The following is a 23,987-nucleotide window of genomic DNA, read 5'->3' as shown; positions in this document are numbered from 1 at the left end:
TGTGAAGAAGAGGGGCAGGTCCATCAGATGTGATCACTGGTACGCAGTTTACAAAAGATATGGGGCTGTCCAGTATTTTATTTAGGAATTATTTTGCTGAAGGAAATCCTTCTGTCTACTGTCAAGCCTTTATTAAAATTCTGCTATATGCATTAGCCTGTGCTTATGATTACTCTGGGATGTAAAAGGAACGGCATCCCAGACTCACATTAGCGCCAGGGCAACACAGAGAAGACACAGCCACAAGAGGCAGAAGTAGAAATATGCAGCCCAAGAGGAATAGGACAAAAGTGAATTCCTTAAGGTTACGACACATTGTAAGTGGACATTATGATACAGAGGCTTTTAATATTTATATAAGATTTCACAAAGCTAGATAGAATATTTCAAGGAATACAAGCAGCCTACCTTTGAGTATATTTGAGGCCTAAAACAAAACCAAAGCATGTTTTCTAATTAGTTTTTAGGGAATATATAAATAAAGTAAAAATAATGAAGAAAAATAAGAAATAATTTTCTATACTTTATGACACGAACTTAAAAATTAATATATTAGTAATTTTTTCAACAGTGATCAATATTTAAGAGCCAAAACAAAATAATTTGTTTCTAGGTTTTAGAAGAGAAAAGTAATGACATATTTCATTAACAGCTATATTTATGTAGTTGCAGTTCAGGCTTCAAAATTGATTGCCTCTAGGCCTAAGGCCACCCGTTACCTGCAGAAGGAACCTAAGGAAGGATTGAAAGGTCATGTATTTCCGAATGTTCCATGGTAAATTTTAGAATCATGGAGGTCACGAAGTAACTGTTGATGGTCTCCATTATCCTAATGACATGGCATCTTTGGAATGTACCTTTATGCATATTTAAGCATATCTTGGTATATTGATCCTTCTGCGACATCAGGTTCACAGTTCTAATTCTGCATAAAGATTACCCATTGACAGTATGAAGTTAACTTCAGGCAGTTGGTAGCAAAATTGTGAGCTACTCTGTGGAAAGTTAACTGTTACCTCATTATATTAACAATAAACCACAAGATAACCCTCAAAAATTGCTGCAGATTTAATTTCACCACATAAAGAATTAACTTGCTTATAGAAGCATATCACATAATCACAGAATTTTGTTTCAGAAAGGAAACTACAGATATCAAATAATATCTAAGGTTACATTTTCAGACAACAGAAAAACCAGGAGAGCCCAGGCTTTCTGATTTCTTGTTTAAGATATTTTCCGTTTGATCCTGTGGCCTTACTCGTATTCCAATATTAAATAAATTATTATAATAATGTATAATTTTATCATGTACTTAAAGCAAATAAAAAGTACTAACAGGAACAAATAAATCTAACAAAAAAATCCCTTAATTTGTATTTTTCTAAAACTAATACATATATATGTAAGAATTCAAAATATAAATATAATTTATTCCCGAGTTGTTTATTATAATTATTCACTTCATTACAAAGTAAAGCTTAGAAAAATTATACAATTTTCTCTTATCTTTATTCTTCCTCGAAAGCTATCACAAGGCAAAAGTCTCTACTATTAATGATGATCTCAACAAATCTGTAAGAATCAAAACATATTAATGGGAGAATCCATAATATAATTTTATTCCACACTTATTACCTTAAGATAACGTCATGAAGGCCAACATTTGTAACCTAAAAAATAAACTAAAGAAAGATGCTGAGAGCCATCTACTACTGTTATATTTTAAACTACTTATGAGCTGTGAATACTTTAAATATTAATCTCACCCAAGCCTTTTTTTCCCCCATTATGCTTTAATAGACTGGTTTTCTTCATTTGAAGTGGTTTCAATTTCCAATAGTGCATCAAAGTCAATAAAAGAAACGGATATACTGCACCCACTTTTAAATCTCTAGAGCTTTTTTTCCAAATCATTAACCAAGGTGAGCATCTTACCACTACTTCCACAATTGCTTTTGCCTAATGACTCTTGGTGAATATCCAGCAAAAGGATGCTTCTATCGTAATGATAAACCATTGGTCACAACTGTATATCATAGTATAGGAAACCACATTTTCATTGACCACAACCACCACAAACTCAAATTTTGACTTCCTTTCTTTTTCTGCATGAGCAGTAGTTTGTTCCAGACTCATATTTGTTGCATATTAATATCTTCAGCACTTAAAGTTGGAATGCCCAGCTCTATCTTAACGCACATGTAGTAATTTTTAAGAAAAGTGCAACACCTATATATTTGTAAGTCTGGTTTTAAAAATAAAGGCACTTGTTTTGAGAGGAAGAACAATCTTATTTAAAAAGAGTGCTGGACTAAAAGTCAAAAGATGCAAATTAAAGTCCTCAGTTAAATAACTAGGAAAGTCATTTAACTTCAGTATGGCAAATTGTATTTTCTTCATTTTTCCCATCATTAAATAGATGCAGACATACCTTGAAGGGTTTTAGTACTAAAACATGTATAATCATGTTATAAATTCTAAAATTTATACAGTGTAAGATATTGCATTTATTGTAAATTAAGTATGAGTTTAAAAGACTAAAGATTCATTGAATGGAGAACATTTAATTCTTAAAATTTGCGTTTCAGGTTTCTCTTAGTATTGCTATTTACTCATGCTTGAATGCAGAGAAAATGCTGCCCAGAGCAAGAACATGTCCATCTGCTTCTTAAAGCTAATTTCCTACTGGCTTGTATAGCAGACACCACCGCGAAAGCTTCTTAACAACACTAGAGTACCTCCGCAGTTTAGAGCACTTATTTTCAGAGCGCAGTCCCCTGATCAACAGCATCAGCTCCACCGGGAAACTTGTTAGCTCTGTAACTTCTTAAACCTAGATCAAGATCTACTTAATCAGAAGCTGTGTGACTGGGACATGCCAATTGCTTTTATTAAGCCCTTCATCTTATTCTGATGTCCACTAACATTTGAAAACATAGGTTTAGATAAGTATCTGAAAACTTCTTTGTAAAGGACTAGAGAATAAAGATTTTAGGCTTTGCAGGTCATATTATCTCTAAAGCAGCCATCGACAATATGTAAATAAGTGAACATACCTATATTACAAAAAAAAAAAAAAACGTTATTTACAAAAATAGATGGTAGGCTAAATTTGACCCTCAGGACGTAGCTTGCCAAGTCCTGGTTTGGAGAAACTTTTTTGTGAGGGTTTGAATAGTTCTCTGCCATCGGCTAGATGACTCCTTATTGGAACCTAAATGCATCTATACCGGTATCCCAACTATATCTACAAATCTAAGGTAACTGAGGAACGGCTTTGAAATACAGAGGGCACGTTCATGGAAAAGATTACATGGGGTGGGTATTTTGAGTTTGTAGGAAGATGATAGCTGACTTAATACATGATGGTTTGACCTAAGACTAGCCCTGCATTGATGTGAGCAGTATTACAGACATAATGGTAAGAGCTGTGTGATTTAATCCTGTAGTAATTGGATTATCACAACTGGGTCATAGAAAACCATAGTTTGCTTGGATATAAGATGTATTTCACATTTATTGTATAAATTACTCAGTGATACTTTTTCTATTTAGAAGTATGCTTTGAATTATTAGATTTAAATTTAAATATTGATTTGGAATATACTTATCGAAGCAATGTAGGCATTCCTTAACTTGGAATTACTTTAAGTCCACTTATATTGGCGTTGCTTCTTGTGTAGTAATATCTGACAGATCTTTTCTCTGTCTTCTTGCGTAGACAAAGTAACATACACCCATTAAGAGGTAAAGCATGGTAGAATCCAGAATTGCACTGGTCTCCAGATTTCCTTACCATGCTCAATTCTCTGCATTTTGGAGTGCGCCTTTCCAAAGACAGGCCCATTTTGGAATGGGCATTTTTTTGTCTAGAAAATGTCCTGAATATTAAGTTTAAAACTGATAAGCTAAACAACACAATATAACTATTTGTGCCCCAAAAAGCAATGTAACTGCTTTTTGGGGCAGTGGGGTGAGATGAGGAGTGGAAGGTGTGAGCCAGGAATAGAGTGAAATATCAGATTTTTCAAGTTGAAATGCCAGTAAATCCCAATCATAACACAAGGGGAACACATTCCAACTTGAAAAAGCAATCATGGTACATTTGTTGTGATGTAAACTTTGTGGATTATAAAGAACTTTAATATGCATTATCTTAATTCAAATCCAAACACATATTTTGGTATAGGAGAAAGTATAATGAGAAATATAAAGCAGATACATTGTCTTGTGCAATTTTCTCAAAATTATTAAGTAGGTTTAAGTCTCCCATAAAGTCATTAGATCATTATTAAAATTGTCCTAGAGATATTATTTAATATTTTGTGATGCAAGTAAAAAGAGTTCAATTGGAGATTGATTCTTTGAAGTAAACTAGACAAACTAGCCAAATTTTGCAGTTAAAAAAATATTAAATTAAGAATTATAAATGTACTATCAAATGGTCTATTATAAAATGGTTACTCCAGTGCCCTGTCTGATTGAAGTACACATTTTGGGAGCTTTAAAATTTCCAAGATGATAGTAAATCACTTTCATTTAATGAAATAGGCAATTTTGCAATCAGTTCTTTAAAATAGTAGATCTAGAAACCTTAGTGAGAGATTTTCAACCCCTCATAATTATTTTCTGTGTGAAGTGGGACTCAAGCCTGTATGAATAATAATATGAACTTAGTATACATTTACATAAATGTCATGCGATTTTGGATTACAACCTTACATTGTTTGCTTGTCTGTAAACAGAAAACCCAATAGATAGTCATGGCTATCATTAGATTGAAATATTTTCACAGGTCACATCAAACAGTACACCAATAATAAAGAAATACATGACTGAAGTAAAGAGGGGTCCCACACAAAGGTAACTGAAGGAAATATCTTAAAGCAGAATTAAACTGGAAACCAACTTGTACACTCACAGCCTTACAACTAGAGAGCAGAAAGAATCACCTATGGTCACTGTGCACAGCAGCCTCTGGCCTTGTTTGACTAGCAACGGCTTTGAGTTATGTTTTACCTTAAAGAACATGACAAGGTCACAAACAAAATTCTAGAACTGCTACAGGCCTAGTGTTTCTAATTTCCAACTAATATTAACCTTTAGTATTTGGGAACAAGAAATTGGAATTCTTAAAAATTATTGGGAATAATGAGATCATGAGTTATTCTTTGTTTTCCACAACACTTTTTTTTACATGTTTCTAAGTATTAATGATTGAATAAAATAATAGTGAAACCTTTTTACATGCCAAAATTATACTAGAAGTTGCAGAAGTTTTTAATGTAAAGCAATGAATAATAAATGCACATTTTATTATTATGTATCACTATGTTGTGACAAGTTTAGATATTCCAATAATGTTAAAATTATATATATCTGCAATAGATATTTGATAAAGAATAATGAAGGAAATATTAATATAAAATCAATGCCAAATAAAAATTATTTAAAACATTGAAAATAATCCAAATATTTAATATTTCTGAGTTATAATACTTAAAAGTAATTTCAAAATACACAAAGTGGGAGTAAAACACACAAGTACTCATTTTCCTATCTAAAAGACTTAATATTTGTTACATGATAAATATTCTAGATGTAGAAATAGTTTGTATTTTGTTATTGACACTGATCAAACTGTTATAAGCGCTTCCAAAAGCGTTTACAACTTGGGCATTAGGGTATATGTTATTTAATATAATCTCTTTTTTTAATGATGAAAACATGCTCTGATTTGATTTTAGTATTAAAATAAATACACTTTTACCAACTTAGATTTTAGATCAGTTTTGGATTTCACCTTGGAGATTCTATACCATTGTTATCTTCTTTTCTTTGTAGTTATTTTGTTAAAATATTTCAAAGAAACACAACCTATAGCAAATACTGAAACACTGAAAATTACCACTGTGCATTATTGGGTAGTATATTAGTCTGTTCTCATGCTGCTAATAAAGACATACCCAAGACTGGGTAATTTATAAAGACAAAGAGGTTTAATGAACTCACAGTTCCACATGGCTGGGGAGGCCTCACAATCATGGCAGAAGGCAAAGTAGGAGCAAAGACACCTCTTATATGTGACAGGCAAGAGAGCATGTGCAGGGGAACTGCTCTTTATAAAACCATCAGATCTCATGAAACTTATTCACTCTCATGAGAACAGCATGGGAAGAACCCGCACCCATGATTCAGTTACCTCCCACCAGGTCCCTCCCACAACATATGGGGATCATGGGAGCTACAATTCAAGATGAGATTTAGGTGAGGGCATAGAGCTGAACCATATCAGGTAGTATTTTAAAAAAATTAAACATTTGTATCTCCTATCAAGGTTAACAGCAGTACAGGTGTAGATTTCAATTTAATGATTTATTTTACTTTCAAGTCAAATTGTTTCTTGGAACACTATTCATAGTATTTGCATAAAGTATATGATATGTATTAACTTATTAATATTTATTTATGTTTTAAAAATGACTTATTGTAAGCCGCCAACAGCCCATGAACATTTTTATCATGGCAATAACCACAAGCAAGATTGACTAATTAGATTGTGACCTCTTCTTGCCTATGTGTTCTTGTCCTGTTTCCAGGAAATATCAACTTTAACTTTTGACTGACTGTCAAGGTGTCTCACTTTTGCTTTTAACTTGATGTCAATGGATTCCTTCAAACCAATAACATCTCTGTGATGATATTTAAGCTTTAATTCTCGCAGATAATTATAATACTTGTTTTTAATTTTTTAACATTTCTCATTTAATAATTCTCAGGATTCAAGATTTGAAAAATATAAATTTCCCAAGAAAGCCTGAGAAGGAATTCCCATATAGAGACAGCATCCAGGTCATCTGTGCTACAGTGAATATTCATAATAGCTCCTGTCTCAGTATTTGCATACAGTCCACCTGCCTTCATGTTTCTATACTTAATAGCTCACAGAGCAAGGAAAAGTGGCATCTATAATTTTTTTTTTTTTTGAGATGGAGTTTTTGCTCTTGTTGCCCAGGCTGGAGTGTAGTGGCGTGATCTCAGCTCACCACAACCTCCACCTCCTGGGTTCAAGTGATTTTCCTGCCTCAGCCACCGGAGTAGCTGGGATTACAGGTGTGTGCCACCATGCCTGGCTAATTTTGTATTTTTAGTAGAAACGGGTTTCTCCATGTTGATCAGACTGGTCTTGAACTCCTGACCTCAGGTGATCCACCCGCCTCGGCCTCCCAAAGGGCTGAGATTACAGGCGTGAGCCACCATGCCAGGCATGATAAGATTATTTGACTTGTTAATGTAAAATAAGATTCAATCACCATCAGAAAATTACTCTAGATATTAGCTTGAAAAAACATCATGTGTCCAATGACCTACTATATGTCTAAGAGCATGCTATTGAGAATAGAAACACATTGTTTATGAAAAGATACTCAGCTAGTCAATGAGATGAGGTGGTAAATGTGTCAACAGTGACAGGCTCTGCAAACACAAAAACAAAATCCAATAAATGGGGAAGAGATTCCAACAGTTTACTGTAGGAAACATGTGATTCCTTTTAATTTCAACCTTCCTCATTTAACAACAATGTCAAAGTAATGATTTACGTGTACAAAGGACAACATCATGGTGAATAATAAAATTAGTACCAGGAAGCACAATTCAGGAACTCCAACTACATTTGTTCCAGGACCATTCCCTACGGCAGTGTGTTCTTCCCCACTTATGTTACTAAAGTGCAAATATCACCAAACAGACAAAGAATCTTAAAGGATAGATTGTCAAAATCAAAGAGAAGAATGCAAAATACATGCCCCAGAAAATGATATAAACTGTTTTTTTTCTTATGTTATACATGACAGTGAACATATTCCATTCAAATTTTCTTTTTCCTTTAGCACCAGCACATTGAAAACATACAAATTTTCCGCTGGAGAAAATCAAAAGCTAAGTTAAACATCCATGCACTGAACTCTGAACTCTTTGATCCATATGACACTGAAGACTCCAGAGGTGATTCCAAAATTAATACTGTCATTGGTATATTTTTCTCAAAGAATTCCTCAAGTTTTTGGTGAAGGCTGAACTTAGTTACCATGTCCTTAGCATATGTTCTTTTGAAAAGCAGCTGTTCTACAGCTTTGCAAAGCAAAAACCACAAGACTAATATGAAATCTAAAGCAAACACAGGCATGGTCAAATGGTCAGTTTTATGTCAGTTACAGCAGGCTGGACAAACCTCCAGGGCATCAACCCTACAGTGCCCAATTCCAAAGCAAATGTCAGTGAGAACTATATCTCCCTTGTCCGCCATAGGCTTTCGCTTAAATTATGTAAATACTGAGGAAGATTCATGAAGTCAAAGTTTTTTTGTTTGTATTTGAAAAAACAAGGAGTTCAGTTATTTCATATAATATGATGGACATTGAGTCAAGAATTGGGCTTATCAATTACTGACATCTAAAAATCACTAATTTTGTTAAATACTTAGGTAGTTTATGTGACTTAAAAAATATTAACTATTATTTCTTCTTCCTGTGTATTCCATGGTTATCTTTGCTAATGAGGTACTATAACATTTTGACAAAAGCATTAAATATGTCACAATCTAAGGAAGATCAAAGTCAAAGTTATAGTAATTGTTACTTTTCCTACAAGTATCATTGGAAGTTGAAAAACTAGCATTATAAATGAACCAATCACTGAAAATCTTCTCAAAGTTAATAGAAAAATAACTTCTATTTTATTTTGGGGATCTAAAGAACTAGAAAATGGCAACTTCTAAAACATATAATAAAAATTCTTATTTTACCATTCTTGTATTTTCAAGTGTAAAGCTGTTTACAAACTTTGCAGGCTGATGCCACACTGAGATAGTTAATGTGTTGCCTCATGGTGGCAAACCATTAGAATGTTCTGCATTATAGGGATAAGGGATTTTAAGATGAGAAAATTTCACAACATTTTTTATCTAATCGAAAATTGACTGCAATTAATATTTCCTCTAAGGCAAGAGAGAGATTCCACCGAGGCATGTACCTTCTTCCACTCAAAGGTAATTATCAAGCTCCAGAAATGATTGGTTTAATAAAATTTCTAGTGATCATATAGAAAGTATGTGTAATATAAATCAGAAGACTGAACATTCCTATAAATACTGCCAGTACTTAAATACTTGTCATGGAATGTATCCATGCTTGCTTTCAGATTTATCTACAACATATGTCTCAGTTAAGAATTTTACAAATACATCCAGCTATAGGCTATTGCTTTTCTTTTAAAAAAATCTACTAATTTTGGAAAATAATATGTGTAAGCATAACCATAGATTATTAAGTGATATGGCACATATTAATATGTATAATTATAGATAGATTTATATATAAATGTTTATATGCAAATACAACACATTTCTTATAACTTTCTGTATCGAGGTTTTCATTAATATAATTTGATTTCTGAAATTCTTTTCCATTTAGAATCACTGGAAAGAGCCTTTGACCTACTGGGAGAGATATTAAAATAGATTCCTATATGGAGAGAAAATAGAAGGGAATATTTTCTATTCATACTAATCCTGAAAATGTTCCAGGTCACTGACCCACACTGATAGGGTGTACATTAAACTCCACCTATCGTTTCATGATGCATTTAATTTCTGGATACTAAATCTTAAAATGTTCCAGTTGTAACCTAATACATTGTTTTTTCATCTTTCAAGGGGAAAGAAGATACCATGCAATTCAAGCTCTTTGCACACACAAATGAAAACACTGGACACTGTAGATTGCTTACTATCTTTGTCTAATTTAAATGCCAGTGTGAAATTAAATATAATGTTAAGTATTTGCTGCTTGCCTTTCTTTAGAAGAAAGAGAAAATAACACGTTTTATTTTTGTGGGCTCAGTAAATAACTAGATAAAAAGTTTAGGTTATTGACAACACAAAGATTATTTTAACTTAAACTAAGTTTTTTTTTTTTAAATCAACTTTTGCTCATTAACCACCCTACACGTGTACTCTGTGGGTATTATACAGAAGTGTTTCAGTCCAAGGTCTGTAAGGAAGACTTAATTGAGAAGAGCTATGTGTTTTTATTTATAAACTTAGGAATTGTGATATGGGGAAATGAGTAGTTCAATCTTTTTAGAACTTTAATGGGCACATATTAAGAGATTAGTAACACCTCTTCAACTCACCCAACTTCTCAACCCTGCTCTAAGGGAATCACATGAGCACTCGACCTCAGTAAGATTTTAAGAAGAAAAACAAACTTCATAAAACTTAATCACATTAGTTGAAAGCTGGAAGGATGTTTTAATGCTTCTCCTAAGCCACCAAGTTCCATTACCTGAATCCCATCAACATAATCCTTTCTAAGGAAGAAAAGAATGAATCAAATGGAAAAGATTTGTAATTGAATTATCTTCAGTCTCAGCGCCAATTAGAAACATTTTTTATTGGCACACCGAGATATAACCTTGACTGTTTCTAATTAGTCCATCAACTCAGATAATAAGAAATGCAGGAACATGTTTACAGTGTTATAAATTGAAAAGAGTTCATATTGTGTATAACATGTGTACTACCCATATATGAATAGATGGAGAGGGAGGAAAGAAAGAAGTGTATTTATAATAGGGTAAAGGGTTATCCCATAAAATATTTCCATTACTGAGTAAAGAAGGTCATTCCTTTGCATAGAAAGAATTATAATTCTATTGCTGTCTATGCCATATTCATTTTAACTATTACCATGTTTTAGCCAGTTGTGCTGTTTGAGAAAAAATGAATGTGGTATATAGTTTGTCTTAAAGTAGACCTATCAATTTAATAAAGATTTTTGGCATCGTCTTCCATAAAATAGTTGATAGTAAAATTGGATCTTGGGAGTGATGGGAGATGTGCACTTCAAACTGATTTCTGAGTAGTTAGAACATTTTTAGGTGTCAAGGTTCATTTCAGAAGTGTAACTGAATGCAAAAAGAAGCATACTTAATTTTCTATTCTGATATTCTGAAACAGAAACACAACATCCCTGTGACTTCCTTTCTTAGAAGGCTTGATAAATAAACACCCTGGGTTCTCCTGAAAAGAGAGAACTTTCAGGAGTTCTCTGTTATAGAAGTAGACAAAAAAATGATTATTTGCTGCACAGAATATTGTTTGTGGGTTCTTATTTTTATTTAATACTCTTTACACATGATGTGTATTTCTCAGCTCTGGGTTTTAAGAAATAATTTTACTTCTCAAAGAGGCAAAACTTTTTGGACAGAAGTTTTCCATGTGTACCTAAAAAAATGCAATGATTTTGGTAAAAATATATTCAATCTATTTTAATAATTATTAGTGAAAAAGATTTTTTTTTATTTTAAACTAAGATGACTATAAGCAATTTCTTTAACCAATCTGATTATTTGGTGGGCTTTTATTTCCAAGCATAAGGTTCAGTTCAATTATCTTTGTGCTTCTTCTTCCAGGTGTATAATTGTAAACAGTTTTAAAGCAAACTGCATGTATCTAATTAGGGCACTTTTATTCCATCCTATCAACGGTACTTATTGAAGATCTACTAGAGACTAGACACTTACTATAGATGAGTGTAGATTAAAAATAAATAAATAAATAAGACCTGCTCACTGCAGTCAAGCAGTTTTTGCTCTAGACATATTTACTTGAATAACTTAATGTGAGAAAAACTTTAGTGTCTAAATCATAATAGTATTCACAGAAGTTAATAAAATGAAAGTCAAGTTTGAAACAGTATTTAACTTTTTTCAATCTTTATAAATAAATTTTAATCTATTTCTTTAAAAAATTCTTTATTTCTTACCTGCTGTTTTTTGTTATTAGACTCTAAAGTTTGTCACTCACTCATGTATTTGAAATAAAAGCAAATCTTTACAATAAAAATAAAACATTTCCTTACTTAACAAAATGCCCATTTGCCAAATTGGAGTACAATAGATCGTCAGTTAAATGTGAAAAAGGAATTTTATATTTATCAAAATACATGCTGTATTACCAACTTAATGGTAAGATAAAAGAATTACTTTAAAGTGTTTTTGCATACATTTTTATTCTATATAACTTTCAAGGTCATCAAAAGAGTTATAGAGCTGTAAAGTTATTCCAGACATAAGAATTTTACCATTATCACTTTTCACTTTATGTAAATTGAATGAATTATATTATCATAGCTAGAATACTTAAACAATAATTAACCCTATGATTCAGTACCTATTTTTAATAGCACATTTTCTTCTAGATTGTTAGTAACTGTATTGATGTTTGGTAGGGGGCTACTATTTTTACTAGTTACCTGCATATATTGTACAGCACTGTCTTTAGCAATTTCTTGTAATGCTTGCATATACTAGCTGGTTAAGGGTGGGAATAGTAGCAGGGAATTCTCAATTGCTCTTATGAATTTGCAATTGAGAGATTGCAATTCTAGGTTCTGGCTCTTTTGCTACTAGAAACACATAATCATTTAAAAATATGTGTACTCTTATTGGGTCATGCTCTTTGTAGGAACATGTAGGTCACATACCATCTCCTGATATTCCCTTGTACACAATACCATATATATATATATATATAATTATGAAATATGACTTTATTCTTTGCCCCTGGGGAGAATAAAAAGTTATACAGCTATATAAGACTGAAATACCCCTTTCCAATCTAGGACCAAGAGAGTGGTTCTTTGGGAATGGAAAAAAGGAAGAGACTGTGAGGAATTAAATTTAGGTTTAATATTGCTCCAAGTTTATTAATTTAAAAGGAAGGGTAAGTTTTCAGTTGTTTGTCTGAAATGGCAACAAATGTAAATAAAATTTTAAGATATAATTTTATCCCCTAAGTTTATCATAACATTATGTTTTTATTTGTACTTACATTATGATAATTACCTCAAAAAACTTAAGAAACTGAAGGGAAAAATATGTCTAATATAGCTAATAAAAATAGTTTTGCTTGGATGCTAAGAATTAAACAGGTGGTATTTTGGCATACATTTGTTAGTGAGAAAGAAATGGCTAAAATACTAATTGTCATTTCTTCCCAAAACATAAAATTCTCTCTTAAATAATTTTTTCATTCACAATTATTTCTTCCAAACATTCTTATTGTACAGGTGTAAAATGTCATGTACCTTTTGAACATCTCTGAACATTAACAGAAGATATAAAGATATTCAAAAAGGGTAGTTGTTACACGTACTTTGAAGCCAGTAATCACATATTTGTGTTTGTTACTGATGTCTTAATGTCCCAAAGTTGCTCTAAGTAGTTACAAGAACACAGAATAAAAATCATGAGCTTGGGGAAACATATTTTCTAACCAGTAGAACATCAATATGCCACAAATATTTTCTCTACTGACAAACTGTAATGAGGTAAAAATGCCTTCCTGCAGTAAAATCTTACCTTGAGGTTAGATGCCATCTATCTGTAGCTAAGGCATCCAAAACAAAATAAAACAAAACAAAAAAACAAAAAAAAAGTGTAATTCTTACCAATACAAAAAACAAAACTCAGACTATTGTAGGAGTCTGCCATTTTTCATAATAATTTTATGTTTAATCATAATTTTACCATTTGTAATCTTTTCAATTTTTCTGCTTTTTCCTATTAGAGATGAGTTTTAACATTACTGGTGTCCAAAACAAGTAAAAGAAACAGGTAAAATATAGTAGAGGAGATGAAAAATATAGCAATGATCTCACATTTGTGTAGTTCTCTAGAATTTACAAAGTGCTTTTGGATAGAACAACAACCTCAAATTGAAGTCCAGATTAGAATATTAAATTGATCAATTCTTTATTATTATTACTAACATTGTTTTACAAACTGTGAGGATATTCATTACACAGTACAGAGATCTGGTACTCATTTTGAGGAATGAAATGTAATGACTAAACACAGTATAAACAGTATAACCTATTTCACATTTCATAGAAAAGCTATTTGCTTTGGCTAAGTAAATAAATCCTTTCCACTCAGAAACAACTGTTGCAAATATGTAAATTTTAGATAATCAAACACTGTCCCTTGAAATAGTCTATTTATTGTAACTCTAAAAATCATTCTGGGGATACTTAGCTTAATCTCAGGGTACATTATACATTTCACACATTTAACATTTTATTTTGTAAAAAATGCAATTGAAATTGAGTACCTCCTTATTTTGGTGGAGGGTATTATAATCATTTTTCTCTAACTTTTAGATGTCAGGGAATAGTACTTGGATTTTACATAGATATGTTTTGTTTCTTCAGAATGCAAGCTCTGATTTCAGATTTAGTCAGAAAAGAGATACACATAAATCTATATGACCAGAAGAGATAAGTAGATCGTAAAAAGTCCACACACATCATAACCCTGCACATCTAACACACAGATAAGGACAGTTACAGATTATTATGGCATGGATAACTTGATAATCTATGGTGAATCTATGATAAATTTCAAACTATAACAAATACAATGACTCATATTTTTTAAGGAAACAAACCATGAAGGCATAAATTTACCCTGAGATTTGTGTCACTAAGAAACTGAATAGTTCAAAGTCAAACATTATATGACATGCTTTAGATTGCTCTTATGAAAGGCACTATAGAAATGTCACCCTATTATAACCTACTGTATTTAAGAATTAACTGCAGCAGAATAGCCACAGGAGATGAATATATACTGATATGATCATCCCCTCCTATTACTCACCAGTAGTTAATACAAAGCATGCTTTAGAAAAGAATCTATAAGACAAAGAAATAAACACACTGTTAAAAAAGTACTGCATTTAATATCAGGATTTTTAAATTAATTCTAACAAACCCTTATATTGTAGTATTTTATCTTTAATAATAGGAGCTTTTCATTTAAATGATGCAATCAGTATGCCACAAGCGGGTTCTTTCTTTAGTGGGAGGAGTTAGCAGCTCCAACATTCAATTGACCTGTTTCCAAATAATCTACAGGAAAAAAATGAAGATTAAGTCCTCTAACAAGAGCAGTTTTCACAGCCTTGCATACAAAGAGAAGGATTCGGTAAAAAGATGAGAGGGCAAGCCGCATTGTGCTGGCCCACTTAAATCTTATTTCCAATTCACTAAATGTGTTATTTGACTTGGCAAGTGAACTAGTATGTGTATTAGATCAGCAGGGAGCCTAATCAAGGAGATGCCAAGTTTACTGCAGCCCCTCTGAGCTGCATTAGCCTCAACTAGTGACCTTAAGCAAAGTGGGTGGTTGAACCCAAAAGAGAATAGCATTAACTTTTGCTTGAAGTTCAGCCTGAAGTCTCCTTTTGTGCCTTATTCCAAAAAAAAAAAAAAAAAAAATGCAAAAAGCATTTAACAGAATTGAATATAACAGAATTGAATCTAGTCTGCTCAGCACCATCTTCACACGCAAGGCTTCATAGAAGCTTGCCTCCATTAATGCTGACACATGCAAAAGAAATGAAAAGCATTAACTCAGCTGAGGCACTTGATTTTGCAGCTGCAGAACAATTCACTTTGTAACTCAGTAACTAAGATGGGGTTTTTCCGCCCAGATAAATTGCTAATTTGCTAATTGATACAAAAGTATTTTCAAATATTAAATAAACTGCAAATAAAGCAAAAAGAAAAAGAACACTAAGTTACAAGGACACCTGAAAAATATATAGCTTAGCATTAACGGATATACATATTTTTAAAGACCTATTTTACCTTGTACACAGCATTGAGCATCCATTCCCAGTTGTATGTAATAGCTTGGATGTGTAAGTGAACTCTTCAACGATATATTTGTACCAAGTAAAATGCAAACCTGTGTAGTTAAAAAATGTTGTTATATAATAAATTCAAGCAATAGATTTATCTTTAGAAACATCTTTGTTCTCAATTTAGTTTCCCTATTTTAAACTTTCCGTCTTGTCTATATACTCAAAGACTTCTAATAATGCCAGTTTTACACATTGTTTAGAAATACTTTGGAATCTATCTTTAATTCCAGGATGTTCGACTCAGAAATACTCATACAGCAAAAATTGGTTGGATATGAAGATTACAAAGTTATTGAAACTCAAAGACCTTCTGTAATGCCTTTGGTTGTAAAAGTTTTCTCTTTCCTAAGCCAAGGTTCTTTTCTTTTCTTTTTTTATTCATCCTTCATTTTCCACTGTTTGTTTGGCTTCCCTCCTCAGATCTGAAACGAAGCCAAGCAAAGCAACATCACCTTCTGGAAAGTGCAGAAACTGCAATCAAGATCAACAAAGAAAAGCACCCTTCCCATAGATTCATCTCTTTGGCGTTTAAGTGTTTGGGCGAGTCTACAAAACTCAGATTCCTCATTTAACTAGATGTTCCAGGTCACAGAGATATTCTACTAAGGCAATTTTCAAAAGACCATAAAACCACCACATCAATTTATGCTTGCAGGTAGTATAATTGCCTTTGTATCATATATTTTTAGAAAAAGTGGCTTAAAACAATTTGAATAGTGCTTTAGAAATAAGACCCTTAAATAATTGACGCTGGTATTGCCTTTCTTAACTCTGGGATTTCAAAACATTTTCCAAACATTAATTGCAATGGGACCCTGGTGAGGCTGATATTATCATACCTATTTTCCAAGACGATAAGCAGGGAGCGCAGGGCCCGTTTCTTGTCTTGCCCCATGCCCTTCAGAGCTTGTCCAAGCTCAGAGCTCCCTTAAAAACCATTGGATCAGCTCCATGGGAGCACAGAGGAAAATGAGAAATGGGCTCTTGGAGATTTAAGGGATTCTGTAAGGTTGTGTGTGAGTGAGCTGTAGCTAAAAGTCAAAGCTGGAAATCTAAGATTCCTTATTCAGTGCTTGGATATATTTCCTCATTAAGATAATTCATGTAGAATATCAGGCTTGCAGGAATATGCTGGTAAGAAGTGGACTCTGTTGCTGTTTGTTTTTGAGTAACTTATTTAATAACAAAAATGCCTCCCTTTGATTTGAATAAAAATAAATGGCTGGATTTTCACAGGCAGCATGCATAGAAGACCAGCAAGGGCCAACAGTGAATTTCGACACTGACTTTTAAAAATTGTGAAAGAGATGCTAACAGCCTAATTTGCAGTGGAGACTAGATTCTGTGGCTGTATCAGGTGGTGGTATAAAGAAGAGCCATATACAGAAGGTGAAATGAGGGGTTAAAAGTCACGCTAAACATGCTGCAAGGACCTGTGGGCATCCCAACCTTTTTTTCTTTAATTGGGAGGAGAAGAGCTTTTTACTAAAGAGTAAGTTCCACAATGTAGGCCGGTGGCCCAACTGGGAAATACTCTTGATTTGAACAGTTTGCAGCAGTTCTTTTCTGAACTCTTTATATAGATCCTCTTTCAATATGGGGACACATATTTTAAGGTAAAAGGGGTATTTTACTAATTTTTTTTAATGAAGCTTTCACTGCAAGCAATATTTGGAGTTAGTAATCACCGGCTGGTTTCTTTCCCTCCTGCACTGCAGGAATGAGGCCACTTTCACAGCTGGTTGTCAGCACATCTCTTATTACTAACACCAATTATTGATTTTTAAAAGGCCTACGCTATTAGTACCCTGCTACATCTCTTCACGTACAATATGTGTTTTAAAAATTCCTTTTGTAAAAATATAAAATCTGAGTCCAACCTTTCTATCATCACTGTGCTTGTTCTTTACATTTTATCTTATACCTTCACAGGAAAGCAAACCCGGAATCTTTTTTTTTTTTTAACTTTTGGGCTAATTTAGAAGCAGAAATACTTTGCCCATATGATCTCTCTGGCAGGTATCACATTATAAAAAAGCAAATGGTGCGTAGTGAGGGAGGATGAAAGAACATAATTAGAGGGTTTAGGATCTTCTATCCCCTTTTCTCTGCCTTTATTTCGTGCCATCCCAATCTATGTTTAAGCCAATCATAAAAACCCACCTGGCGTCATCCCCACTAGGGTGGCTGCTTTTGCATAGGACTGCACCCCAAATTGGACTTTTCTCTTCTCTTTGAAAGTTCTCAATGAAGGTGAATTTTAGGATTTCTTTCAAAAGATACTATTCACACGTCAGTCATTCTAGTTGTTGATATATTGTCCAAATGATAGGCGGCTCTGAGAATATTTATCTTTAGCAATATTTATGGGTGTATTAGTTTTGTAGAGCTGGTGTAACAAAGCTCTATGAAAACGCTACAAAGCTCACCAAAAACTGGATGGCTTAAACAGCAGAAATTAACGTTCTCATAGTTCTAGAGGCTAGACATGCACCATCAAAGTGTCAGCAAGGTTGGTTTCTGCTGAGGGATGTGAGGGATAATCTGTTTATGCCCATTTCCTAATTTCTGGTAGTTTTCTGGAAATTTTGGCATTTTTTGGATTATAGATGCATTTTCTGGTATCTTCCTTCATGCTCACATAGGATTCTCCCTGTGTGTGTGTCTATGTCTGTGTCTAAATTTCCCCTTTTTATAAAGACTCAGTCGTATTGATTAGGGACCACCCAAATGATTTCATCTGCTAGGATACCATATCCAATTAAGGTCACATTTACTGAGAGAAAGCACTTCAACAACTTTTTGGGCAACATAATTTAAACCATAACAATGGTTTGTTAAATGACGTATATATGATACTATATATATATAAATCATTATTATCATTGATTATGTATATAATCAAATACTATTTTATTATTTACAAAATACATGGTGATCATAAGAGAATATTTTACAAATTACAAATGGGAAAAGTACATGGCATTACTAAAACGTCAGTGCCAATGCCTCAGCAGAGAAAAATTAGTGCATTAATTAGTTACCCTCTGATGGATAGTTTTTAGATAATAGAGACAGGTATTGGTAAGCGAAATGGAATTTTAATTTCATGAGGATGCTAGAAAATTGCAAGTTGGAAGATCAATTTTATTTACTCCATCATTAACATGTGCTAAGTGAATATCTAAAGCAAGCTTGTCCAACCTGCGGCCTGTGGGCTGCATGCGGCCCAGCATGGCTTTGAATGTGACCCAACACAAATTTGTAAACTTTCTTAAAAGATTATGAGGGTTTATTTGCGATTATTTTTCTTTTTGCTCATCGGCTGTTGTTAGTGTATTTTATGTGTGACCCAAGACAATTCTTCTTCCAATGTGACCCAGGGAAGCCAAAAGATTGGACACCCCTGACCTAAAGTGTAATCCATACTCTGATAGATGGTTTTCAGTAACACAAATTCAACATAAAACTGAACATACATTTTCATGAGCAACTACTAGGTTCCAGGTACATGACTGCTATAGAGCATTAGAGTTCTAATACTAAGTAAAGCAGAGTGATTTTTAAAATCTAAATACAGTTTAGCCAGGAAGAGTGAAGTATAAACCAATCATTGAAATTTAGAGGGCACTGTAAAGAAAACCCATATACATGGAAGAAAGAAAAGGCAGGGTCAACTTCTTAGTTGTGAGGAAGGATCTTGAAGAAAAGATTACTCTGTTTTTGCATTGCCATAAAGAAATACTTGAGGCTGGGCAATTTATAAGAAAAAAGGGTTAATTGGCTCACAGTTCTTCAGGCTGTACAGGAAGCATAGTGGCATCTGCTTCTGGGGAGACCACAGGAAGCTTCTAGTCATGGCAGAAGGCAAAGGGGGAACAGGCACATGCTGAAAGCAGGAGCAAGCGAGAGCCAGCAGCGAAGTGCTGCACACTTTTACACAACCAGATCTCCCGTAACTCACTCACTATCATGAGAACAGCAGCAAGGGGATGGTGCTAAACCATTCATGAGACTCCAACCCATGACCCAGTCACCTCTCACCAGGCCCAACCTCCAACATTGAGGATTACAGTTAGACAATTCAATATGAGATTGGGGCAGGGACACACATCCAAACTATATCAGATAATGATAATATGACTTAAAAAAAAAAGATCTGTATAGTCTCACCTAACAGTAGCCTGCCTGGGGCAGGAAGACAAATGGAGTTCATGTCTCTAAATATTTACAATTATAAATTAAGGTAACAAAATTGCTACCCAGAACATATTCAAATGTCCTACCCTGTCAACTATAGCTTTTGAGCAACAAAATATGAAAATAAGTCATGAATCAATGTTTATATGACTGGAGAAAGAAAAATATTAAACATGATGGAATTTGATTATTTCCCATATTTAGATCTTCTGTTTATGAGTAAGGACATTTAAACTAGTAATAAAGGAAACATACATAGTTTATAAATATATGTAAACATTTTATAAAATTTATTTTTCCTACCTTCATTTCAATACAATTCAATAATTTTACTCGTATTTTCAGATTTACACAGATTATGAAAAAATTTTAACCTGAGATTTTTAGTTTTTTAGTTCTAAAGTATATTTTTAATTAAATTTAGCTGTTTTCATAACATTTAATCCACATTACCATCATATGTGCCAAAAAGTAAGGCCAAATTTGATATGTGATTTGCTTTTCAAGAAATAAATTTAATCATCTGGATAACTGAACAAGAGAATGCTAAATATACACTTAAGAAGATAGATAATATTGCAGTTCTTTATTTTTCTGCTTATTACCTGACTTCAAAATGATGATTTCCATAAAATTTCTTGGTAATTCTAAAAGATAGTAGAAACAAATCAAAATGAGAAACAAATGAATAAATAAAATGCAATATTTTATTTGACTTCTGAAAATATATGCAGTCTTAAAGCTATAAACCTTATAACACCAGACCTCCAAAACATCTGGATATGAGGTATTAAATAACATATGGATATCTGATTTTTTTTTCAGATTTCTCCTAGTTTTCGTATAGTGCACATGCAAATTGCAAAGAATCAACAAAGTCTTCCTGATCTCTATATATTTTTTCTTAATAGTTTTCAAGGAAAATGCAGCCAGGCTTGGTGGTCTGGTCATTTGAAATCTCTAAAGGAGCTTAAATATAAGTAAACATCAATGCGAAATCATAAAAACAAAACTGATTGTTATTTCCAACTGCAGTGATTCAATGTTGATGCCCACCCAAGGCAATCCCTTGGTTCCGTCTTCTGACACTGTATTAGAATGTCAACTTGTGGATTCACCTTAGCTGTTAATAAGAAATTTTGTCTTTATCATGAAGATTGGATCTTGGGTCCTTGTGTCAACATTAAAATAGTAATAAAGTGATGAAATACAAAATACCTAGGAATATTATAGGATCTGAATCTTCTAACTGGGTACATAGATACTTGAGCACATTAAATGAATTAGTGTTAATCACAAGTGTATCATGTAACTCAAGTAGATTGTGTGGCCCTGAAATTCCTGAGGGTTGCCTGTTGTTTCACATGCTGCCAGAACTTGAATGCCGCCACCACCCTCCCCTCACCCCACTCCCTGGGGGACTAAGCAGAGATTATTAGACTCTAACTTCCAGAAAAAGGGCTAAGTCTTAAACATATCTAAGATTATTACTATAGAAATGTTATTGCTTAATTTTAATGAGTATGTTGACCATTTAAGTTGACAGTCCTTGTCACAATTTATCAAAGACAAATTAGCATAGTTAGAGTCACCAAAAGGAAACTATTAAAACCTAAGTGTTTTCACTTCTTCTGATCTGGCACTTTTCCTATAGAACTATATATCACTTTAGTGCTTCTTAATTAAAAGTGATGTCTTCCTCCAACTTAGATCTGTACTGCAAACATTCCCTGTCCCATGTTGCTTTTGATTTACAAAGTACAATATAAAACTGGATTATATTATCTTCAAATAAAATCAACACCAGTGATGTTGCTTTGAGTGGTTTATAACAGTGATTTCACTAGATGCAGTGAAAATGCACAATACCTGGGAATTAGAAATTTGCTCTTTTCAAATATTGAAACACTTCCCTTTCTTCTAAATTAACATTATATTTTATTAACCTATAAAATCTCATACTATATGTGTACTTGACTTCTAATATGCTAAATTTAGGGTATCTCCTCTTACTAGGTATTTATTATCGATTAAATATCTAGAGCAGTTATTTAAAAATGCCTATTCCTTTTGTAAATTTAGAGGCTATAGATAGATCAAATTGTAATTATGTAACATTTAATTTTTAGATGAAAATTGTATTGAGATAATTTTATATTCACATGCAGTTGAAAGAAATAATAAAGAGATACTGTGTATACTTTACCTAGTTTCTGCTAAAGGTAAACTATAGTATAACATTAGCCTAGGATATTGACTTTGATATCAATTTTATCCAGCTTTTTCAGTTTTATTTTTACTCATTTGTGTGCATGTATATTTAGTTCTATATGCTTTTATCCATATATTGTTATTAATATTTAATTTTAACATGTAAATATTTTCTTAAATTTTAAGTATCTATTAACTGTTGTTTATGAATTATATGACATATAATCGATCCTTAAAAATATAAAATAACTACTAAAATAGGTTTCTTTTAGTATTCTAATCGATAAAAACATTAATTTTAGACTTGGCTAAATATTACTATCAAGTAGTTTGTAAAGGTTGACTAATAGTTCCCCAAATGAATAGTTTAAAAACACCATTGACATTCTTTTTTCCTTTTGAATTCACACCACAGTTTTTAACTAGAGGTTCAAAAGAGGTTAAGAAATATGAATCCATTTTCAGTATTTGGGGCATCAGCTCATTAAGAGTAATAGAGCAGGCTTCCAGTTTGAAAAAGGCACTGACTCAAATGTGTAATGATTTCACTTTCAAATTTCTTTTATCTCAGCTGCTTCTACTTCAACAAATACAAGTGCTTCAGATATAATAAGAAGACTAATGAGGATTGCAGATGATTACAACAATATTATAATACTTCCCAAGGCATAATGACATTTTTTTCCCAAATTAAGGAAAAAAGGTTTTTTCTTGTTAGAGTCTTTATTGCCTGAATATGACCTCAGTTAAAACCAGGAACCCAACTTTAGAACAAATCTATGAATAAGTATTTTTTTAGTAAGACTTCTTAGCTTATAATGGAAGTTTTATTAACTTTAGCAAGGACTATGTATGTGCTACAGGATTACATCCTTAAAATAAAATGTGCCAAAACGGGTCATTTGACATCACTGCCTCATTGCTGTTCAGAGTTGGCATTTTGCTGATCACCTCACCATGTACTCTTGGGTACTTTCTCTATAAAGTGGTTACAAGTCCAGCCTTCTGATGTTATAGTTGGATGCACTATATAAAAGGGCCATTTTCTACTAAGTACCTTACTTGCTTCAGAGCCAGAGTACAGCTCTTTCATCAGTCACAGTTTTGAAACAGCAGGGGTACAATGTATCAGTTTGTTCAAAGTAGACATTGTGCTGTTTACAGAGAAATTGTGACAAATCAGGAAAGAATTTATAACCAACGCTATACAACATAACTTAAACAACAAAAAATAAAGTGCATAATCTGACTCACAAAATGAGACATCTGCAAACCACTACAGCAAATTGTGTAATGAACAGCCTCTCCAGGGTCTTCATGTAATTCAAAGCTGTTTTTGGCTCCCTTTCATTCTGAGTTTGAAGACAGATTATTTTACAAGGTACATCAGCCTTTAGGGAACAGCAATTTCCTCCTTCCCTCAGCCTTGCCTCCCCACAACACAAATGTAACTTTTTAAACTGTTTATCTTTGATCAAAAATATATTACTTAGCGTACTAAGTAAACAGCCGAACATTTTGTCATAGAAATTATTGCTTCCTGTGGCTATTTTTAGTGGCTTTTTTTCCCCACATTTTCTGGGCAATTGGTAATAAGGCTGATAACCCTGCCATTTGTTGCTGTAATGATCTCAGAAAAACATTTTGAAATACGATCTGCTCTTTAGTGTAATGGATAAACTACTATGCTGCCAGGAATTATACCCAACTTCCTCACTCAATAGTCATGGGAACTTAAGCAACAACCACAACCCACACACATAATGCAGGAAACGATACGGAACACATATATTACATTTCT

At 33.0% G+C, this 23,987-nt stretch overlaps 1 long non-coding RNA gene across 3 annotated transcripts in view, besides 1 other annotated feature; it reads left to right on the top strand.

Annotated features, from left to right (window-relative positions):
* The window catches only part of LOC105379082 (uncharacterized), a 135,090-nt gene extending 111,998 nt beyond the window's left edge, over positions 1-23,092 (top strand). For 2 of the 3 annotated variants that reach the window (NR_188297.1, NR_188296.1), the window contains one exon: positions 16,196-23,092. This is a non-coding gene — a long non-coding RNA (uncharacterized LOC105379082). The remainder of the gene's footprint in view (positions 1-16,195) is intronic. The other variant, NR_188298.1, reaches the window with a different exon arrangement.
* Positions 14,883-15,539: an enhancer, noted in NCBI's record as "OCT4-NANOG hESC enhancer chr5:91896397-91897053 (GRCh37/hg19 assembly coordinates)". NCBI's record gives its function as "activates a minimal SCP1, AML or CMV promoter by ChIP-STARR-seq in naive H9 embryonic stem cells {active_cell/tissue: H9 hESC(naive)}" and the evidence as "EXISTENCE:reporter gene assay evidence [ECO:0000049][PMID:30033119]".
* Positions 23,093-23,987: the final 895 nt, after the last annotated feature.

The sequence above is a fragment of the Homo sapiens genome, chromosome 5 (genome assembly GCF_000001405.40).
Source record: "Homo sapiens chromosome 5, GRCh38.p14 Primary Assembly".
NCBI classification, from domain to species: Eukaryota; Metazoa; Chordata; class Mammalia; order Primates; family Hominidae; genus Homo; species Homo sapiens.
This window is presented reverse-complemented; position numbering and strand designations above follow the sequence as displayed.